Source organism: Homo sapiens, chromosome 2 (assembly GCF_000001405.40).
Source record: "Homo sapiens chromosome 2, GRCh38.p14 Primary Assembly".
Classification (NCBI taxonomy): Eukaryota; Metazoa; Chordata; class Mammalia; order Primates; family Hominidae; genus Homo; species Homo sapiens.
This window is the reverse complement of record NC_000002.12, coordinates 26,205,692-26,229,080: the sequence shown is the minus strand read 5'-3', so window position 1 is coordinate 26,229,080 and position 23,389 is coordinate 26,205,692. Positions and strand designations below refer to the sequence as shown.

At 40.6% G+C, this 23,389-nt stretch overlaps 1 protein-coding gene across 1 annotated transcript in view; it reads left to right on the top strand.

The window, feature by feature from the left end:
- The window catches only part of HADHA (hydroxyacyl-CoA dehydrogenase trifunctional multienzyme complex subunit alpha), a 53,998-nt gene that overhangs the window by 15,552 nt on the left and 15,057 nt on the right, over positions 1-23,389 (top strand). The window contains exons 8-11 of the mRNA NM_000182.5: positions 13,906-14,028; positions 14,520-14,638; positions 16,455-16,511; positions 19,192-19,301. Coding sequence (NP_000173.2) covers positions 13,906-14,028; positions 14,520-14,638; positions 16,455-16,511; positions 19,192-19,301 — 409 coding nt within the window. The remainder of the gene's footprint in view (positions 1-13,905; positions 14,029-14,519; positions 14,639-16,454; positions 16,512-19,191; positions 19,302-23,389) is intronic.

Genomic DNA, 23,389 nt, shown 5'->3' with positions numbered 1-23,389 from the left:
GGTGTGAGCCACTGTGTCTGGTGAAATTGACCAACTTTTAATGTATAATTTGAGTTTTGAAAATGTATATAGCTGTGTAAACACTGCCACAATCCAAAAATAGCCGTGCATGGTGGCTCACACCTGTAATCATAGCATTTTGGGAGGCTGAGGTGGGAGAATTGCTTGAGGCCTGGAATTCAAGACCAGCCTGGACAACAGAGCAAGATCCTATCTCTTAAAAAAGAATTTTTTTTTTTCAATTAGCTGGGTATCATAGTGTATACCTGTAGTCCCAGCTAGTCAGGAGGCTGAGACAGGAATATTGTTTGAGCCCAGAAGTTCAAGGCTGTAGTGAGCTATGATCACACCACTGCACTCCAGCCTGAGCAACAGAGTGAGATGCCATCTTTTAAACAAAAATTTTTAAACATTTCTGGTATGTAGTTTGTTTTAATCTTCGTTCACTTAGCATAATGCTTTTGAGATGCATCCATACTGTTGCATATATCAGCAGTTTGTCCTTATTGCTGAGTGTTACTCCATTGTAGAAATGTACCATAGTTTGTTTATCCGTTCACCAAATGATGAGCATTTGAGTTGTTTCTAATTTAGGGCTATTCTGAATAAAGCTGCTATGAACATTCATCTTTAAGTCTTTATGTGGGCGTGACTGGGCGTGGTGGCTCAAGCCTCTAATCCCAGCACTTTGGGAGGCTGAGGCAGGCTGATCACCTGAGGTCAGGAATTCAACACCAGCCTGACCAACATGGCGAAACCCCATCTCTACTAAAAATACAAAAATTAGCTGGGTGTAGTGGTGTGCACCTGTGGTCCCAGCTACTTGGGAGGCTAAGGTAGGAGAATCACTTGAACCCAGGAGGTGGAGGTTGCCGTGAGCCAAGATTGTGCCACTGCACTCCAGCCTGGGTGACAGAGCGAGACTCTGTCTCAAAAAAAAAAAAAGTCTTTATGTGGACAAATGTTTCATTTCTGTTGGGTAAGTACTGAAGAGTGGATTGGCTAGTCCATATAACAGATATATATTAGCTTTTGAAAAAAAAAGTTTGGCCTGAGCAACATAGCAAGACTCTGTCTCAACAAAATAAAAAGTTTTAACTAGTTGGGTGTGGTGGCACATGCCTGTAGTCCTGGCTACTAGGGAGGCTGAGGCAGGAGGATTGCTTGAACCCAGGAGTTTGAAGTCACATGGAGCTATGATCAGGCCACTGCACTCCAGCCTGGGTGAGAGAGGGAGACCTTATCTCTGGGAAGAAAAAAAAAAAATTTAGAGATGAGACTTTGAGTCTTGCTCTGTCACCCAGGCTGGCCTCAGACTCCTGGGCTCAAGCAGTCTTCCTGCCTCAGCCTCCCAAGAAGCCGGGATTACGAGGCATATGCCACTAGTATTTGCTAGGTATGTGTTTGCTTTTCTGTCAGACTGTTTTCCCAAAGTGGTTATACTCTTTTGCATTCCCACCAGCAGTGTATGAGAGTTCTAGGTACCAACCACTTTGCATGGTCAATCTTTTTAATTTTAGACATTCTAACAGGAATGTAGTAACAGTTCTTTTTTCTTTTTTTTTTTTTGAGACAAAGTCTCGCTCTGTTGCCCAGGCTGGAGTGCAGTGGAACAATTTTGGCTCACTGCAACCTCTGCCTGCCAGGTTCAAGCGATTCTCCTGCCTCAGCGTCCCAAGTAGCTGGGACTACAGGCGCCCACCACCATGTCCAACTAATTTTTGTATTTTTAGTAGAGATCGGGTTTTACCATGTTGTCAGGGCTGGTCTCAAACTCCTGACCTCAAGTTATCCCCCTGCCTTGGCCTCCCAAAGTGCTGAGATTACAGGCGTGTGCCACCACACCCAGCTGGAATTAGTCATATTTCATTGTGGTTTTTATATTACCCTAATTACCAAAGATATTGAATATCTGTATATCTTATTTGATAAAGAAGCATCTGTTCAAATTTTTTGCCCATTTTCTTGGACTGAGTGTTTTTCCTATTATCGAGTTTTCAGAGTTCTTTATATATTAGGATATGAGTCCTTTATCAAATATATGATTTGCAAATATTTCCTCACAGTCTCTGGCTTATCTTTTCACTATATAAGAGCAGAAATTCTTAATTTTAATGAAGTCTGGTTTATCAAGTTTCTCTTTTATGGATCATGCTATTAGTGTGGTATCTAAAAAATATTTCTCTAACTCAAGATCACTAAGTTTTCCTGTATACTTTCTTCTAGAAATTTTCTAGTTTTAGCTCTTACATTTTGGTCTGTGATCCATTTGGAGTATTTATGGATCATGCTATTAGTGTGGGATCTAAAAAGTATTTTTCTAACTCAATATCACTAAGATGTTCCTGTATACTTTCTTCTAGAAATTTTCTAGTTTTAGCTCTTACATTTTGGTCTGTGATTCATTTCAAGTTTGTATATGGTGTGAGGTAAGGATTGAGGGCCTTTTCTTCCCTTTTTGCATATGAATATCCAAATGTCCTGGCACCATTTGTTGAGAAGACTACTATTTCCTCAGTGAACTACTTTGATCCCTTGATCAAAAATCAACTGACCTTATCTGTTTGGGCCAATTGGATTTCCTATTCCTAGTTATCTATATGTCTTTTTGTTAAACCAATACCACACTGTCTTGATTATTGTATTTTTATAGGGAATCCTGAAATTAAGCAGTATGAGTCCTCCAACTCAGGTCCCTTCTTTCAAAATTATTTTGCTCATACTAGTTCCTTTGCATTTGTGTACAAATTTTATAATCATTTTGTCCATATCTACAAAAATACCTGCTAGGATTTTTATTGGAATTGCATTGAGTCAGTATATAAATTTGGGGAGAATTGACAGCTTAAAAATATTGAGTCATTTCATCCATGAACATGGTAAAGTTCTCTGTTTATTTAGGTCTTTAAATTTCTCTCAGCAGTGTTTGGTACTTTTCAGTGAATAGATCTTGAACACATTTTGTTAAATTTATGCCTAGGTATTTCATACTTGTAGGCTGTTTTACTTTTTTAACTTTAATTTCTCACTAGAATATAGAAATACAAAGATTTTTGGACATGGACCTTGTATCTTGTGGTTTAGCTAAATTCATTTACTAGTTCTAGTAGCCTTTTTTATTAATAGATTCCTGAGGATTTTCTACATAGATAATTATGTTGTCTGTAAGTAAAGACAGTTTGACTTCTTTCTTTCCAATATAGATGTCATTTGTTTCTTTTTCTTGACTTACCACAATGTCTAAGACCTTTGTACAATACTGGATAGAAGTCATGAGAACAAGTATTGTCAACTTGTTCCCAGTCTTAGGAGGAAAGCATTCAGTATTAAGTATGATGTTAGTTGTAGGTTTTTCATATGTGCTCTTTATCAGGTTTGCTGAGAATGAGTATTGAATTTTGTCATGCCTTTTCTCCATCTACAGAGATAATTGTGGGGTTTTCTTCTTTTTTAGTCTATTAATAATGTCAGTCACATTGATTTTTGAATATTGAACTAGCCTTGCTTCTTGGAATAAACTCCATTTTGTTGTCATATATTATAAAGGATTTTTATGTCATCATGAGGGATAAAGTCTCAAGGATAATTTTCTTATGATATTTTTGCGTGGTGTTGGCATCAGGATAATGCTGGCTTCATAAAATGAATTGAGAAGTGTTCTCTCCTCTTTTTTTTTTTTTTTTGAGATGGAGTCTCACCCTGTCGCCAGGCTGGAGTGGTGCAGTGGCGAGATCTTGGGCTAATTTTTGTATTTTTAGTAGAAACAGTGTTTCATCATGTTGGCCAGGATGGTCTCAATCTTCTGACCTCATGATCCACCTACCTGCCTCAGCCTCCCAAAGTGCTGGGATTACAGGTGTGAGCCACTGTGCCTGGCCTCCTCTTATATTTTCTGGAAGATTTTATGTAGAGTTGGTATTATTTCTTAAATACTTGATAGAATTAACCAGTAATTCCTGGGCTCCTAGTTTTCTTTGTTGGGAAAATTTTTACTTATGAATTCAATTAATAGATATAGGGCTATTCAGGTTCTCCATTCTAGAGTAAGCTACGATAGTAGTTTGTGTCTTTCAAATAATTTGTTCATCTATTAACAATTTGCCAAATTTATTGCAATAAAGCTGTTCATAATACTTGTCATTTTAATGTTTTTATACTCTATACTGATGTCTCCTCATTCATTCCTGATATTGATAGTTTATCAGCTGATAGGACTTTAATCACTTATAAAATACCTTCATAGTAACATCTAGGTTAATGTTTATTGAATAACTGGGCTGTAGCCTAGCCAAGTTAACATATCTGAAGACTATCATACTCCACCCCTTGTCTGTTTGACACCCATACACATCTCCTAAAGCCATACATAGTCTTCAAATAAAGGCAATGACAGGAGTCATACTTTATCCTGACATAATGCAATTCTCCTTTATACAACCAAAAATACACTAATCCTTTCCCTAGAAGAGGATGCAGAGTCCTTGGGTGAAATTCACTCTTCTCTCATATTCTGTAACATAAATGCTATGATATAAAGTTAACCATTATGGATACATCTTATATTAGATGATAAGGAGATAGAGAAGAAACACAAATATTTGGTTAATTATATATATTCATAACAAAATAAGAAATCCTCATAAATAGTACAGTATTCATTACTGTATTCAGAAATGAATATTTATAATATTTCCAGATCAGTATTCAGCTGATGTGGAAAGAGAACTGAGCTATCAAATATCAGAGTAAATAATTAAACAACCCAAAAGGAAAGTAACAGTGGAGCCTTTATTCACTTACTTTGATAGTTTACACAAAAGGCTAAAAACCAAAGAAAGTGCCAGCTCCTTTTTCCCCCCAGTACCGTTTTCCCCATGGAATGGTACACTGGTTGAGGATCTGGTAGATTAGCATACAAGTGGGGGACATCTCACTGTTGTGAAAGCCCTGAACAAAAGGTTCCTGCGGCTTTATGGACCCTGGGTGAGGAGAGTGGAGTAGACTGGGAGAAGTGTCTTTAAGATTTCCCATTCCGGCCAGGTGCAGTGGCTCATGCCTGTAATACCAGCACTTTGGGAGGCCAAGGCGGGCAGATCACCTGAGGTCAGGAGTTCGAGACCAGCCTGGCCAATATGGCAAAACCTCATCTCCACTAAAAATACGAAAATTAGCCAGGCGTGGTGGTACATGCCTGCATTCCCAGCTACTCAGGAGGCTGAGGCAGGAGAATCACTTGAACCCGGGAGGCAGAGGTTGCAGTGAGCCGAGATTGTACCATTGCACTCCAGCCTGGGCGACAGAGTGAAACTCCATCTCAAAAAAATAAATAAATAAATAAAAGATTTCCCCTTCCTCCTTTGACAAGGTCTCAGCAGAGGCACCTGAAGAAGGCCTCAGCCAAAGTCCCCATATAAAAAGACCTAGGAATAGAAGGCATCTAGGCTAGGAATGCACATTTGTGTAAGAGCTTAGCCAGCCCCAGAGACCCAAGTCCTTGACTGCAGCTCCCTCAGATGACACCGCAGTGCACTGGCTGTGTACCAGGTTTGGTGTGGAAAGGGTGATATTTCTACTCCCCTTTTCATATTCCCTTTGCCCTCAGGAAGTACCTCAGTTTGTCCTAGTTCTTTGCCTGGTGGGGTGACCTTCATTCCTAAAATGTCTTCTAGGCCACTAGCAGTCCCATGTGAACTGGGTTGTGATCTTCTACTGACTAATTAGAGGTCATGTTAGTACTAAGGGACACCCTAAGAGATCTGCCACATTTGAGACATACTCTTCCTTACCTCTGTTGTATAGTAGCAACCTAATATCCCCTTGGTAATCAGGATTAATCACCCCAGCCAGTACAGTACCCGCCCTCTGCTGCCTGTTGATTCCAAGGCATGAGGAGCCCAAAGTGGCCAGATGGCAGTTTTAACTAACAGTTCAGTAGAATCATTGTTGTGTCTCCTGGTGGAAGCATTCCTCCCTTTGGAACTGAGCCCTCTAGACAGGCAGAGCCCAAAGTTGCAGGGACAAGAAGCAGAAATTTTGCTGGTAGATTAGATCACTAGGGGTAATAGTGAACTGGGTAATTTCTGTTTGCTCTCCTTGATTTCTGGACTCACGAATCCTGGCTGTGGGAAAAGTAGCACCCTATACTGGAAGCTGACTTAAAACATAGCAGCATCCTGGAGGACATTGACTCTGCAAAATACTGCCACTTAGCTGGCACTGTGATGGAGTCTTCAGTAGTCCATCCCACCATTCTGTCAAGGCAACTGCTTCCCGGTGATGTAGTAAGATCAGTGTTTCGTGAGCATGGCCCATTGCTGCACTTCACTTACTGAGAAGTGAATTCCTTGATAAGAAGCAGTGCTTTGTGGGATACCATAATGGTGTGGGATACCATAAGGTACTCTATAAGTCCACAAATAAGTCCACTTACCACAAATTGGTAAGTGAAAGTCCATATTGCCTAAGCCCATGCATAACCTCCACACCCACCATCATGGCCACTGTTCATGAAGCAGTGATAAGAGTGACTGCGGAAAGATGCTGACTGCTATCCATAGAACGAGTCATCCCATCCACTTTGATCATTGAAATCCTCGGCTGAGGTCACTCTTTGATGAGCATTTAATGGGACACAAGTGTTTTCACATTATTTGCCTATTCAGAGAGGTCTATCCACTGACCTATTCCCCAGGTGTCCTTGTATATTAGTTTGCTAGGGCTGCCATAACGAATACCAGACTGAGTGGCTTAAACAACAGAAACTTAACATGTTTTCTCGCATTTCTGGAAACTGGAAGTCTAAGATCAGGTGTTAGCAGGTTTGGTTTCTTCTGAGGCATCTCTCTTTGGCTTGCAGATGGCACTGCTTTCTTACTGTGTCTGCACATCCCTGGCATCTCTTTTGTGTTTCCAAATTTTTTCTTCTCATAAGGATACCAGTCAGATTAGATTAGGGTACACCCTAATGGCCTCATTTTAACTTAATCGCTTCTTTAAAGGCCCTATCCCCAATTACAGTCACATTCTGAGATACTGGAGGATAGGACTTCAACATATGAATGAGGTAGGGGGGACACAATTCAGCCCATAACACCTTGCCAACAGTTTTTCATCTGTGTTCCCTGTAAGTTCCTTACCACCCAGGCAAACCGTTTGCCACGGCCTATGAATCAGAGTAGACCCTTAGCTCAGGCCATTTTTCTTTCTAGACAAAATGAACAACCGGGTGCACTGTCAGAAGTACTGCCCACTGGGAGGCTATCCCTTCACCACTGTCCTTAAGGGATGTCCCAGAAGGGACTGTAGTGTTACAGCTGTGCACTTCCAGGTGGTACCTGCGTATCACACAGAAATATCTACAAACCAGGCCTGAGTTTTTCTTTACCAATCAACTGGCCATAGAGAACTCCCCATGAGGCCATAGGTGCAGGCTGGAAGAGACAAAGAAGAACAGGGCCGTGGGGTATTTTGGCTACTTCCTCATGCAGCTTGTGCCTTTAGGGTCTGTTTAAGCCCAGTCTTACATATACCACTTCCATTTGATAATGGAGTGCTACCGTGTACACCCCACTTTATGGCTTAGTAGGTTAGACAACATCTGTTTCATGATCAGCAGCTCAGGTCACCAGTAACTTGATGCCCCATGGTTAAGCTTTGAGTCTCTGTGAAGTCCCACTAACAAGCCAAACACTGTTTCCCAAAAGGAGAGTAGTTATTCACAGAGGATGGTAGGGCTTTTTCTAAAATCCTAAGGGTCTGTGTTGTGATTCACCTAATAGAGATCTATTAAAGACTCCAGACAGCACCTCTGTCTGCTGCCGACACTTCAGGCGCCATCAGGTTTGAATCACGTGGCCCAAATGGCAGAACAGCTTCTCTTGTTCTGGGTCCCACTTAAACTAGCAGCTTTTTTAGTTACTCAGTAAATGGGCTGGAATAGCAACCCAAATGAGTAATATGTTGTCTCCAAAATCTGAAGCAGCCCACCAGGTGTTCTCCGTGTTTTTTTGTGGTAGGAGGGGCCACGTGCAACACTTACCCTTTGCCATAGAAGGGATGTCTTTGTATGCCCCAGACCACTGGATCCCCAGAAATTTCACTAACATGGGAGGCCCTGAATTTTGGAGGGATTTATTTCCCACCTTCTGACAGACACATGTCTTACCCCCAGTATGTCTAGAGTAGTTAATACTTCTTGCTCACCAGATCCATTCAGCATAATATCACAGTGTAATGAACCAGCATGATATCTTGTGGAAGGACAAGGTAATCAGGCTCTCTGTGGACTAAATTATGATATATGGTTGAAAACAATACACCCACCCCTAAGGTAAGACATTGAAGGTATATTGCTGAAAGCAAACTGCTTCTGGTGGTCTTTACTAACAGATACCAAGAAAAAAAAGCTTTTGTCAGATCAGTCACTGCATACCAGGTCCAAGGATGTATGTTAATTTGTTCAAGCAATAAAACGACATCTGGAACACCAGTTAGAATTGCAGTTGCCACCTGATTAGATGTACAGTAATCCACTGTCATTCTATAGGATCCATCTGTTTTCTGCACTGTCCAGAGTAGGCAAGTTGAATGAGAATGAAGTGGGAATCACCACCCCTACCGCTTTCAGTCCTTGATGGTGACACTAATCTCTGCAGTCCCTCCAGGATTGTGGTGTTGCTTTGGTTTACTCTTTTCTAGGTAGAGGCAGTTTTAGTGGCTTTTACTTGGCCTTTCCCACCATAGTAGCCCTTACTCTACAAGTCAGAGCATATAGTGATATTACTCATTGCTGAGTATGTCTGCTCCAATTGTACATTCTGAAACTGGGAAAATAACCGCAGGATGGGCTCAGGGACCTGCTAGGCCCACTGAGACAGACCTGAGCTAAAACTCCATTGATCACTTGACTTCATAAGCCCCTACTCTGACTGCTGGACCACAGCGAAGTTTGGGTCCCCTAGAATTAGTGTTAGTTCAGAAGCCAGTGTCTAGTAATCCCCAAAAAATCATTGTTTCCCCTTCTGCAAGGCAAATAGCCATAGGTCCCTTTGGGGAAGGGTAGGAGAAAGATAAACAGGAAAGTCTCCTCAAGAGGACACAGCTTCCCTTTCATTAAGGAGATTCTGGGTCTGTAAACTAGCTCATTTCTGGGAATTGCTTAAGGGGCCATGACTCTCTTCAGGTGATTCAAGTTATACTTCTGTTTACCAGACCTAGAATTCTTCTGCTTATACAGATCAAGTAAGAGTTAGTAGACTGCCCATCTATTTCTTTTTTAGGGACACCATGATCAACCACCCAATGCTATAGGTCTCAGCAAGTCAGACTATTCTGATTACTGCTTTGGCTCCACTATTTATTATGGTAACTATGCCCACCTTGATTTGGCATGGTGCTGCTACTTGGGCCCTGCCACCCCGGGATTCCTTTATCCCCATTGCATTTAGGGATCCCAGTTGATGGTAGCAGTTCCCACTGTAATTTCTGACCTACAAAGAGAAGCAACCACAGAGCAAAGATGCTGGGCCTCACCTCACAAATTGATTTCTCACAGTGGTGGTGAAGGGTGCGTCCTCTAACCCTTCCAGGGTGACCTGTCAGTTCTTTGCTCCTTTTTTCTTCTTCCTGCTTTCTTTTGGATTAATAATTTTTTATTGGCCGGGCACAGTGGCTCACGCCTGTAATCCCAGCACTTCGGGAGGCCGAGGTGGACAAATCACGAGGTCAGGAGATGGAGACCGTCCTGGCTAACATGGTGAAACCCCATCTCTACTAAAAATACAAAAAATTAGCCTGGCCTGGTGGCACATCTGTAATCCCAGCTACTTGGGAGGCTGAGGCAGAAGAATCACTAGAACCTGGGAGGTGGAGGTTGCAGTGAGCCGAGATCACACCACTGCACTCCAGCCTGGGCAACAGAGCGAGACTCCATCTCAAAAAAATATATATATTTTTTGTCTTCATTACTGGCCTTTTACTTTGCTTTTCCCTTTTAATGGTTGCTCTGGGGTTTTACAGTATACATTTTTAACCCATCACAGTCTATTTTCTTTCTTTCTTTTTTTTTTTTTTTTTGAGACGGAGTCTTGCTCTGTTGCCCAGGCTGGAGTGCAATGGTGTGATCTTGACTCACTGCAATCTCTGCCTCCCAGGTTCAATCAATTCTCTTGCCTCAGCCTCCTGAGTAGCTGGGATTACAGGTGCACACCACCACACCCAGCTAATTTTTGTATATTAGTAGAGATGGGGTTTCACTATCTTGGCCAGGCTGGTCTCAAACTCCTGTCTTCAAGTGATCTGCCTGCCTTGGCCTCCCAAAGTGCTGGATTACAGGTGTGAGCCACCACACCTGGCCGGTTTTCAATTGATAATATTTTCCTGTGGTGTCAGAACCTTAAAAGAGTATGCATTTATTTTGTATACTCCCCATTTTTGCTATTGTTGTTATACATTTTACTGCTACATACATTATAAATTCTTGTATATATTGGTATATTTGTTTTAGATAATTATCTCTTAAGGAGAATAAAAAATTAGAAAAGATCTTTTTTATAGTTGCCCACATAGTTACCATTTTTAGTGCTTTTTATCCTTTGTATAGGTAGATCCAGATTCCCATCTGATTTGGTTTTCTTGCAACCTGAAGAACTTCCTTTAGTGTTTTCTGTAGTGTAGGTCTGTTCTTACCTTTTGATTTGTCTGACAAAGTCTATTTCCCACTTCATTTTTAAACATATTTTTCCTAGATTGCTAATGTTTCTTTTCTCTCTCTTTTTTTTTTTGAGACAGAGTCTCACCCTTTTGCCCAGGCTGGAGTGCAGTGGCACAATCTCAGCTCACTGAAACTTCCACCTCCCGGGTTCAAATGATTCTCCTATCTCAGCCTCCTGGATAGCTGGAATTACAGTCACCCACTACCACACCTGGTTAATTTTTGTACTTTTAATAGAGTTTCTCCATGTTGGCCAGGCTGGTCTTGAACTCCTGACCTCAAGTGATCTGCCCACCGCGGACTCCCAAAGTGCTGGGATTACATGAGCCACCACACCTGGCCGGCTAATGTTTTTCTTTTGGTACTTTATAAATGTCTCCATTGTGTTTGGCTTGCATAATTTCTGATGAAAAGTCTGTTGTCACTTTTATCTTGGCACTTTTTTGTTTGTTTGTTTCTTTTTGAGACAGGGTCTTGCTCTGTTGCCCAGGTTAAAGTGCAGTGGTATGATCATAACTCACTGAAGCCCCGAACTTCTGGGCTCAAGCAATCTTTCCACGTCAGCCTCTCGAGTAGCTGGGACTACAGTCATGCACCACCATGCCCAGCTAATTAAAAAAAAAATTCTTTTTGTAGAGACAAGGTCTTACCATGTTGCCCACACTGGTCTCAAACCCCTGGGCTCACGTGATCCTCCCACCTCAGCCTCCCAAAGCACTGGAATTACAGGCATGAGCCACTGTGCCCAGCTGTCATTCTTTTCTTTATACTTCTATATATGATGTGCCTTTCCCTTCCTCTGTCTGCTTTCAGATTTTCCTTTTATGACTGGTTTTAGCAATTTGATTATGATGTGCCTTGGTTTGTTGGGATTTTTTTTAAAGTTATTATGTCTGGGATTCATTGAGCATCTTGGACATATGGGCTTATAGTTTTCGTAAAAATTGGAGACTTCTTTGGCTATTATTTCTTCAAATATTTTTCTGTCTCCCTCCCCTTTTTGGAGATTCCAATTTCACATTGTTAGGTCATTTGATATTGCCCAAAAATGAAGCTCTGGGTTGTTTGTTTTAGGTCTTCTTTCATTCTGGTTATTTCTACTGCCATGTGTTCAAGTTTCCTGATGTTTCCCTCTTCTGTGTATCCCTGCTGTTAATCCAATCCCATGTGATTCACTTTTTTTTTTTCAGACGGGGTCTTGCCGAGTCTGGTCCTTGAGCTACTGGGCTCAAGTGATCCTCTCACCTCAGTCTCCTAAGTAGCTGGGGTTGATTCACTTTTATATCTTCAGTTTCTCTTCATTATCGTCCTGTTTTCCTCTACCTTCTGTAACATACAGCATGAATTTACAGTAGTCTTGAACATCACGTCTGCTCCTTCTATCATTTTTTTCATTTCTGAATCTGTGTCTATTTATTGATCTGTCTCCTGGCTATGGGTCATTCTTTCCTTGCTTCATTTCATGCCTTTTATGGTGGTTCTTTCCTCAGCTGCAGATAGTTTCCCCTCATGCACATGCAGAACAATACTCGGCCAGAGTTTCAAGGACCGCTCTTTAGAGCTCTGGAGCTCTCCTGTTGTGCAGCAGCTGCTCTCCAGCATTTCACGTCACAGATTCCAGCTGCCCTGGCCTCCCTCAGGATTATGACTGTGTTAGGACTTTTCTGGACACTGAACTTTTGTCACTCCAAAGTTTTGGGCTTAGTTATTATTCCTCCTTCCCCACACAGGTTCAAAATAGGCCAAATGGTCCAGGCTCGGTGGCTCACACCTGTAATCCTAGCACTTTGGGAGGCCGAGGTGGGCAGATCATTTGAGGTCAGGAATTCAAGACCAGCTTGGCCAACATGGTGAAACCCCATCTCTACTAAAAATAGAAAATTTAGCTGGGCACAGTGGCATGCACCTGTAATCCCAGGTACTCGGGAGGCTGAGGCAGGAGAATCGCTTGAAACTGGGAGGCAGAGGTTGCAGTGAGCCAAGATCACACTGCTGCACTCCAGCCTAGGTTACAGAGTGAGACTCCATCTCAAAAAAAAAAAAAAAAAAAAATAGGTCAAATGTCTTAAGGGAGAGATTGGTTGTATGTCTGCTATGGGTTCCCTCAGTTGGGATTTTGTTTCCTAAGTACCACAGTACTGCACAAGATTGCCATTTTGACCCCAGCCACCTCCTCCAATGTGGCTCTTACAGACTTTTGATTGAGAGCCTGGTAGGTGTCTGTTTTCACAGCACTATAAATTGTGTTCTTTGGATTCCTTTTAAATAGAGGTGGGGTCTCACTATGTTGCCCAGGCTGGTCTTGAGCAATCCTCCTGTGTCAGTCTTCCAAAGTGCTGGGATTATAGGCATGAACCACTGTACTTGTTCTTCAGATTTTTTGAGCCTAGCTCTGTAACCTCTTGCCCCAAGCAGGTTCAAGATCTGGCAGAGGCCTTGCGTGGAAAATCAGTTGCATATTGGTTTCAGGCCCCCTTCTCCATAGAAGTACCTTATCTATTAAACATCATGATACTATGAGAGATTTCACTCAACCTCTCTGAGCTAGCCCCTTCCTCCTTGTGTACCATCTTAGACTTTCACAAATGTTCCTTGGGGAAAACTGGCTTTGCACTTGGTTTCTTCTAGCTTCTAATCTGTTGTACATGACCACCAAAAACTCTGATGGTTTCACTTTCCTTCTGCTTGAGTCAAGTCCAGTCTTCAGTCCATGCCCAAAAGCATTACACATCCCTGAAAAGAAAATGATCAGCAATCATCAGTTCAGCTAAGATAGGCTCTTGCTCTCTAGAATTTTAGTTCATGTTGTCCTTGTTACTTCCATAGCTCCCCAGTGTCTTTACAAATGATTTCATGATTTCTTCTTTTTTCTTTCCAGTTTTGCAGCAAGAATGCAGGTTGCAGTAGACATAATGCATTCCTTTTGTGTGTGTTACATACTACATTCTACTCAGAAGTGGAAACCAAATGAAACAGTTAAAGACCGCGTTTTCTACCTAGAGCATATTGTTTCTCCTCTATTCATTGTGATTTCCCTTCTTTGACTTCTTGGTTTATGACTTTGCCACCTACCAGTCTCCAGTCTGAAATGGAACGCTGTGCTAGGGCCTTTGGCTTTGGCAAGTCTGGGTTTTTCACTACCTGGGACTGGTCTAAGCCTGATTTGCATTCCAGTGTTGCATTCATTTTTATAGGACCAGGACTAAAACCTCCAGAGGAACGGACAATAGAATACCTAGAAGAAGTTGCAATTACTTTTGCCAAAGGACTAGCTGATAAGAAGATCTCTCCAAAGAGAGACAAGGGATTGGTGGAAAGTGAGTATCATTGTTAAAGAACAAAGGCAAAGCTTCTTTCCTGAGAATTTAATTTTATTTGCTGTAGATTCAAAATGAGGAAGTGGTAAATGCATTATTTACTCAAAGCATAAAGTCAGCCTTAGGTAGGAGATGTAACAACTCCTCAACTTTACACTATCCAGTTAAAGCCAATTTTTAAAACCTTTTTTTTCCTTATGATGACCCTTGAGTCATAGAAAACTTTTCATTTTAGAAAATGTTAAGCATGAACACAAAAAGACTAGATAACAGTGTTATAAACACTCATGTACCCAAGGCCCAGCTTTAACATTCATCACTTAGCATGTTTAAGGTAGTGCTTAGGTTGAAATTTATATTGTGTGTATCAGAATAAAGAGCAGTTCTTGCAGATAGCTAGAATTACTTCATTTTTATAGAGTTTAGAGCATAAACTAACAAGGGAATCTAGGCTCTTTATAGTAAATATCTAAAAGCATTTTATTTTACAGAATTGACAGCGTATGCCATGACTATTCCATTTGTCAGGCAACAGGTTTACAAAAAAGTGGAAGAAAAAGTGCGAAAGCAGACTAAAGGCCTTTATCCTGCACCTCTGAAAATAATTGATGTGAGTCTTACCCAATATTCCCACTTTTCTCATATTTCCTTCCTTTATATAGATCACTCCTCCTTATTGCCATTCTGGACCATGTATGTTGAGTACTAAATTTCTTAATTCTGCTATTAAAGTATTTACCAAAAATAAGGGAAGGGCATAGCAAGCTGTAAGGACTCATATAAAGTGATATATTTGGGGAAAATCAGTGCTGGACTTACTCATTGATTGATGCAGTTAAATGTATCAGTAACAAACCAGAAAACCAGGAAAGGAACCTAAGTCATATCAGTATCACAAAGCCATTAGAGTGTCAGGCACTAACCAAAAAGTAGTTGAAACAAAATTGATGGCTCTGTTCTATTCTTGGTCAACATCATTGTCAGTACCTAAAATCCCTCAAGGACTTCTTCATTGCTGTAATTATAAAAAAGATGTAATGATGTAGAGAAGCTCTGCAAAAGATCAATGAGAATAATTAAAATGATCACAGGATTCAAGAAATCTCCAACAGTAGACTTTAAAACTTAGAACTTTTCAGTGTGGAAAGTCCAAGATTAAGAGAGTATATAACCAAAGACTTCAGAATTGGTGAATGGGTCAGTCAGCAAGTATATCTTGAGTAGAAGGCACCAAAGCACATAAAATATGAAACATGCCCCCACCTGCCTTCGTCTCACAGGCTGGACTGGGGAAGTTAGATATATATATGTGTTAAGGTGGATAGCCTTTAAGAGATATAAGGCAGCATAAGATTAATGCCAGATGAGTGGGACAGAGGAGGCAACAATTACCATGAGACAAAGAGATCAGTAAGTGCCTCATGGGATCTGACCCCAACCCTGAAAGCTGGGTGGAGGATAGGTGAAGGAGGGAAAGTATTGCCAAGGAGGGTGGGCATTTAGAGCAAAGTTATGGAAGCTGGAAAACAAGCTCTTCAAGGAACATTAGTGAGACCAGTATTTGTGGGGGATAATGAGATGTTAGTCTGAAGAAAGGCAGATTGAAGCTGGATTTTAGAAGGTTGGTAATAATGAATTGAGAAATTTTACCTTTGTCCGATAAAGATTCTAGAGAGCCATTTTCATGGTAGTGGGTAAAAATGGTTTCGAAGGAGAGACAAAGTAGAGCAGTGAATTAGCAAAACTGTCCTGATAATCCAGGCTTGAGCTTTGAATAAGGCCCTGAGATAGAATAGTAAAAATAGGAAAGCAGCAACAGGCTTGCCAAAGAGAGGTTATGAGTTAGGTTCAGATATATTGAGTTCAGATATTTTGGGAAATTCAAGCAACAGTAGTTTAGACAGAGAAGTCAGAGTTAGAGATGTCAATTTGCTTATTTCTAAAAATTTGTCATTCTCATAAATTATGATAGTGAGTAAGTACAGGGTTATTTTTTTCATCTTTTATATTTGCCATTGTACTTAGGATAGTACTTACCCCAAATGTTACATTGAATTTTGTAGAGTTCATTAATGTGATAAACTAGGTCATGCATCTGAGGGAGAAAGTGTAGAGAGTGAAAAGGGCTGAAAGTGGAAGTTGAGGATCTGCCTACATTTGAAGATCAGGAGAGAAGCCGGAAGAGTAATTCAAGCTTTGTCTTTCCTTCTCATGGCCATGTTATGCTAGATTTAGCAGTAGCCTCAAAGATGGAGAATTAAGTCAGTCGAGAGCAGCCAGATCCTCAGTCCTCTTCTCTTTCTCATTCCAGTCTAGACTTTTGACTTACTCTTTGAGGACTAACAACACTGGCAATTTTATTCAGCATTATTGTACATCTCGCCAATCTATTCCAACGCTGAGCAAGTGCTTTATATGTTTTTTAGGTGGTAAAGACTGGAATTGAGCAAGGGAGTGATGCCGGTTATCTCTGTGAATCTCAGGTAAACTTATTTCCTTTCAATGTTTTATTATCAGTTAAAGGAAAACTAAAGATCCAATCCTCTGTATAAAGCTGAAAAAGGAAAAAAATATCCAAAGCCTAGTAAAAATTTTTTTCTTCCAGTGCTTATCATCTCTTATGATTAATCTCAGTGAGCAAGTGGATGCTAAGAATACCCTAATGGGGCCAGGCGTGGTGGTTTACCCCTGTAATCCCAACATTCTGGGAGGCCGAGGTGGGCAGATCGTTTGAGCTCAGGAGTTCAAGACCAGCATGTGCAACATGGCAAAACCCCATCTTTACAAAAACTACAAAAGTTAGCCAGGCATGGTGGCATGCACCCACAGTCCCAGCTACTTGCAGGGCTGAGGCAGGAGAATTGTTTGAGTCCAGGAGGTCAGGGCTGCAGTGAGCTAAGTAAGATCGCACCACTGCATTCCAGCCTGGGTGACAAAGTGAGACCCTGTCTCCAAAAAAAAAGAAAAAAAAGAAAAAACCCTATGGTCTGCAGATGTTTGAACTTACTTTTAGTAATAAGGTTGTCTCTACGAAGGGCAGGAACAGAGTTCTAATCCTTTCAAAACAAGTCACTTGGGTGTTTTTTGTTCCGCACTTGGGCAGGTTTTATTGAGACAAAATGAATACAAAGACAGAAAAATATTTTTCTTACATGTTAAGGCCTAGAGATGATGAAATTGAATTTTTTGGTAAATTGGAAAAGGAAAGGAAGTATCTTGTACCCACTAAAAGACGAAGACAGAAGAGATGTATGTACCAGCTTTACCTGTGTACTTTTCTAGCAACTTGGTGATGTTGCAGATTTAAGTGATTTGTGTTTGTTTTTAAGTTTTAAACGATCATCGAAGAATGGTTGCTCTTTTATAAAGTTGAATATCTCTTATCCAAAATGTTTGGGACTAGAAACATTTCAGATTTCAGACTTTGTCAGATAGTGGAATATTTGCATATATATGATGAGAGATCTTGGGAATGGGATCAGAGTCTAAACATGAAATTAATTTCATATACACCTTATACACATAGCCTGATGGTAATATCATACATTATTTTTAATAATTTTTCACATAAAACAGTTTTGACTGCAGCTCATAACATGTGTAATATCTTGCCCATGACATCATGTTGGCACTCAAAAAGTTGGATTTTGGAGCATTTTGGATTTTGGATTTTCAGATTAGGGATGCTCAACCTGTAAAAGGACAAAAAAAAAAATCTGAAGAGCTCAGGACAAGTACCAGAAAAACACTTCTGGTACTAGATGTCTCATTGGGCATTTCTGATTTTTTAAAAATATAACCAAGTGCACATAAACATACGTACAGAAAAATTGAGGAATAAGTTTCACGAATCAGTAACTGTCCTGTGTGCATTGTGCTCAGTATTTTCTGTGTATTCCGCTTTTTATATATGTAATGCTTATTGGCACCCACTAAATTTCTGACCATTGATGAATCTTTTGCCCATGTTTGAAAATCACTGGTTTATTAGATAAAACATCCTGTATCAAGATTAGTAAAGCATTGATTGTGTTGTCATTTTATGTTCTTTTGGGTCATGAAAGCAACTTTATTAGAGGGATTCTTTTGAAATGCTCTTTGTAACCATGCAATCTTACCATTATATCCTAGTGATATTAATAATAGCTAACCTTGAGACCCTGGTCATTTTACTAGTGTTCTCATTTAATCCCCCAGAACAATACTGTAAAATGGGTATTGTTTTTCCCATTTTTAAGGATGAAGAAAGCTTCACAATGGGGCAGTGGCAGAGACAGGATCTGTCAAATCCTAGATATTATGCCTTTAACCACCAAGTTGAGACTTTTTCTCCATAAATTAAGCTACTTTTAAAAGTGGTAAGTCCCACGTGGGCAGCCTGCTACAGTGGAAAAAGAACCGGAGTTCGAGGCGAGGCACGGTGGCTCACGCCTGTAATCCCAGCACTTTGGAAGGCCAAGGCGGGCAGATCACGAGGTCAGGAGATCGAGACCATCCTGGCTAACACGGTGAAACCCCATCTCTACTACAGATACAAAAAATTAGCCAGGCGTGGTGGTGGGCACCTGTAGCGCAGCTACTCAGGAGGCTGAGGCAGGAGAATGGCGTGAACCTGGGAGGCGGAGCTTGCAGTGAGCCGAGATCGTGCCACTGCACTCCAGCCTGGGTGACAGTGCGAGACTCCATCTCAAAAAAAAAGAACTGGAGTTCAGAGTCATACTGTCTTGGTTCAAGTTCCATTTCTGCCACTTTGAGGCAGTATAGCCTTGAGCAAAGTCACTCCATTTCTTTGGACCTCCTCTTCCCAATCTGTAAAATGAGAGGGTTGGTTTGAGATGATTGTGGAGGCTCATTTTGGCCCTGAGACTCTAGTTTTATGAAAAAGGTTACCACACCTCTGGTGTAAAGAATCTGAGAGCTTAGTTATATCCAAAACTTTCTTCAACACAGTAGTTGGAAAGTGCTCCAGATAAGACAAGTAAAGACAAGACACATCAGTGAGAGACAGACTTCTGCAGCACTGAACCCCCAAACTCCCCCGCATCCCCAGGGACTCAGGCTTCACATGCATTACCTCTGCTCTTCAGAGGAACCTGAACTGAAGGAATCCATATAACCTAGACTGTGAAGTTCTACCTTTTCTCATTCCCCTTTACTTTTCAGAAATTTGGAGAGCTTGTAATGACCAAAGAATCAAAGGCCTTGATGGGACTCTACCATGGTCAGGTCCTGTGCAAGAAGAATAAATTTGGAGCTCCACAGAAGGATGTTAAGTAAGTTAAACTCTACGTAGGAAGCCCTTGTGAATTTTACTGTGTGCAAAGTTCACAGAGGCTTTGAAGATCTACAGAGCTAGATCTGTATCTTAATTCAGTCTTGCCCTCAACTTCTTTCCTGAGCACATTTGAGCCCTTATGTCTACTAAAAACTTTTTGGCTTTCAAAGTTCTGCCTGTTCTGAGTTTTTTCCAAACCCCTCTGGTCATTCCTATAGAGGCTTTCTTGTCACATATTGATGTTGCCTAGAAGTCTGGTTTAGGTCCCCCTTCCCAAACCACACACTCCCTCTGCACTGTTCAATGATCATCTCTCTCCCTGTGATTTGAGATGTCATCTCTGGGAACTCACACTTCTTCCTCATTAAAAAACATAAAACCTCATTGTAATTGTTAAAATCTTGTCCTTCTTTTAGCTTACAACCTAAGTATTGGAAAGTCTGTTTGCCTCTTTCATGTGTATTGCCATAAGCCAGCCTTTTTCCATATTACGCTGCCTAATAGCTCTTCAGAGTCTATGTTTAATGATGCAACTTGTAGCTCTGTGGTTCTCAGCGTGGACAATTTTGCCTCCCAGGGGGACATTTGACAATGCCTGGGAACATTTTTGGTTGTCACAACTAGGGAGGGAGGGATGCTACTGGCATCTGTGGGTGGAGGCCAGGGATGCTGCTAACCATCCTATAATGCACAGATAGTCCCCACCATAAAGAAATATCCAGTTCGAAATGTCAGTAGTCCTGAGGTTCAGCTGTTCTAGCTGAACTGCTGTGGGGGATTTAAGAGAAGCAGCTAATGATACTGCCTTCTCCATCCTCTCACCTTTAATGAGATTACAAATACAAAATACAAAATAAAATGGATAAGAAGTCCGGGTGAAACAGGTAAGATTCTAACCAAGAGGGCTGATTTCCAATTAGAATCTGAAATACAACCTTAACTGCTTCTCTCAAACATTTAGTGACTGCTATCAATCCCATCTGAAGAGCCAATTGCATTTGTTCCACCTAACCTTGATAGTACCTTGCATTCGATGAGCAGGGTAAATTACTTCCATGTTGCAGGAGGAAAATTATGGCCACTTAAACCTGTATCTCTTTACACATTCTACAAAAATCAACAGATTAATAAGGAAAACAAAGCCACCCATTCCCTGTGCACGGCATAAATAGAAGGCAGAGAAGCATCCTGCAAAATTACAAAACCTAGATACACCAACTTCTACCCCTCCCCACCGTATCCCTCCATGTACACAAAGAATGCTGTCAATTAAAGAAACTGCACTTTGCAACAGAAGAGGGTACTCTTAAATTAAAAAACCTAGTGTCTTAATTTATTAACTCCAGACTCCTCCTGCCTGAGCATTTATTGTCGTATGGAGGTAGTATACATCTCCATGTAACAATAAAATACCCCTTGGAAAAGGTGGTATTGTGTAGTCAGTATGCAAAAAAGAAAGACAGCACCCACAAAAAGCTAATATAAGAAAAAAAGAGAAAATGAGAATCAGAATACTGAAGTTTATGAAAATTCTGTCCCCCAAAAAACAACCACAATGCAGAAGAAGACTATAACAGAACTTGATTTAAATATTCTTAAATCAGCATTTGCAAATCAGAAAAAAAACTGCCTTGAATCAAAAATTCAAAAACTCAGAACTAAATGGGCAGAAAAACAGGATAAATATAGGAGTTGACCTAACTTGGGAAAGACATTGAAGAAAAAGTTAGCATCATCTTAGAAATGAAGAATAAGCTATAAGATACCCAAGGCAAAATATGTTAAACTGAAAATTGAATAATGAACATTGTAGATAGGGTGTCCCCCTTCCTGCTTTCCCAGTTATCAGTAATTCTTCCACTATTATTTCTCTAGGCCCCTTCCCCCTTGCCTTGGATGATAACTGGAATTCCTTATCTATTGTCTCTTTACAAATTAATCTTTCATATGAATAACGCATTCCATCAGTTCTAATAAGTGAAGAGCAGTACTTATGAAAAAAAATACTGAGCTACAAATTAGTATACAGACAAGGTACCATGTTATGCATTCCTCAAATCACAACATTTCTGTGTAATCAACCCTCAAAAGTTCATGTCACCCAGCAGTTGGCTTATAAAGCATCGTGCACCATAGATGTTAGCCTGCTGGGTAATTACACAAGTGGGTCATTTCAAGGGTGCTGAAGATGTTTATTAGAAGGATTCCGTAGATTGTGAAGTGTGTTAATTTAACTCTACATTGTTGTAGACAAATATTAAACAACTATAAAGCCATCATGAAAATTTTGGTGTTAATGAAGCGGAGCATAACAGTTAAGAAATGAGTAATATTTTAGCTGTGGATTCTGTTATACCAAAAAAGCTTTAAACACAGTTTTAGATTTTACTATTATTGTTATTAACAGCTAAAGTTAACATTCCAGCAAATGCCCTCCCACCAAAAAAAAAAAAAAAAACCTACTAAATAATGCATTCTTTTTCTCCTTTCAAAAAAATTATCATAAATAAGATTATAAGATACTCTTTTGTGTTTATGGGATTTTTTTTGTTAGGGGAAAGGGGTGGGTTTGTTTTTTTAGAGACAGGGTCTCATTCTGTCACCCCGGCTGGAGTGCGATGGCATAATCACAGCTCACCATAACCTTAAACTCCTGGGCTCAAGCAGTCTTCCCACCTCTGTCTCCTGAGTAGCTGAGACTACAGGCACATACCACCACACCCGGCTCATTTTCAAATATTTTGTAGAGATGAGTTCTTGCTAAGTTGCCCAGGCTGATCTCAAAATTCTGGCCTCAAGCAGTCCTCCTGCCTCATCCTCCCAAAGCACTACGATTATAGGCATGTGCCACCATGCCTGGCCTATACTTATGGTATGTTTTAACATAAAAGGAATCCTTCTGTATGGATCCTGTAGCTTGCACTTTTTACTCAGTGATATGACTTGGAGATGTAGATTAGTACATATCAGGTAACTCCTTCCTTTTAATCCCCTGTTGACGAATTACTGGCTGTTACAATTTTTCATTACAAACATTATTATATAGCTGTTCATCACAGCATGTCATCTTGTGTATAAGTCCATCTCTGTAAAGTAGATAATGACGAGTAGAATTACTATGTTATACAGTATGCAGTTCTTGGTTTTAACAAAACCAAAGAACCCCCCCAAAAGTAGGACAAAGTATACTTCCGTGAACCATGCATGAACTAATTTTTTGTACATCCTAACTGATACTTTAAAATTTTTGGCCAGGTGTGGTGGCTTACGCCTGTAATCCCAGCACTTTGGGATTCCGAGGTGCGTGGATCACCTGAGGTCAGGAGTTCGAGACCAGCCTGGCCAACATGGTGAAACCCCATCTCTACTAAAAATACAAAAATTAGCTGGGTGTGGTGGTGGGCACCTGTAATCCCAGCTCCTCGGGAGTCTGAGACAGGAGGATCGTTTGAACCTGGGAGGCAGAGGTTGCAATGAGCTGAGATCGCACCGTTGTACTCCACCCTGGGCGGCAAGAGTGAAACTCCATCTTAAAAAAAAAAAAAAAAAAATTGCCAGTCTGATGCATCTCATTTTAATTTGCATTGCCCCAGTTATTAGGGAAATTGAACATCTTTTTATTATTATTATTATTTTCATAATAGAGATGAGGTCTCACTGTGTTGCCCAGGCTGGTTTCAAACTCCTGAGCTCAAGCGATCCTCCCTCCTAGGCCTCCCAAAGTGTTAGGATTACAGGCATGAGCTACCGTGCCTGGCTGAAATTGAGCATCTTTACTGACAATTTGTTTTGTTCTTTTATGAATTGCTTTATATCCCTTGCCCATTTTATTTCGTTGTCTTTTTAAATTGATATATGCATGTTCTGTTTTTCCAGTAGTATCCTTTGTCTGCTGTATATGTCACAAATTCTTCCCATTCTATGGTTGTCTTAATTTTGTGGGTTCATTTGTCAAACAGAATTTTTTTTTTTAAAAAAAATGGAGTCTCACTCTGTCACCTAGGCTGGAATGCAGTGGCACAATCAGCTCACTGCAACCTCCGCCTCCCAGGTTGAAGCAATTTTCCTGCCTCAGCCTCTTGAGTA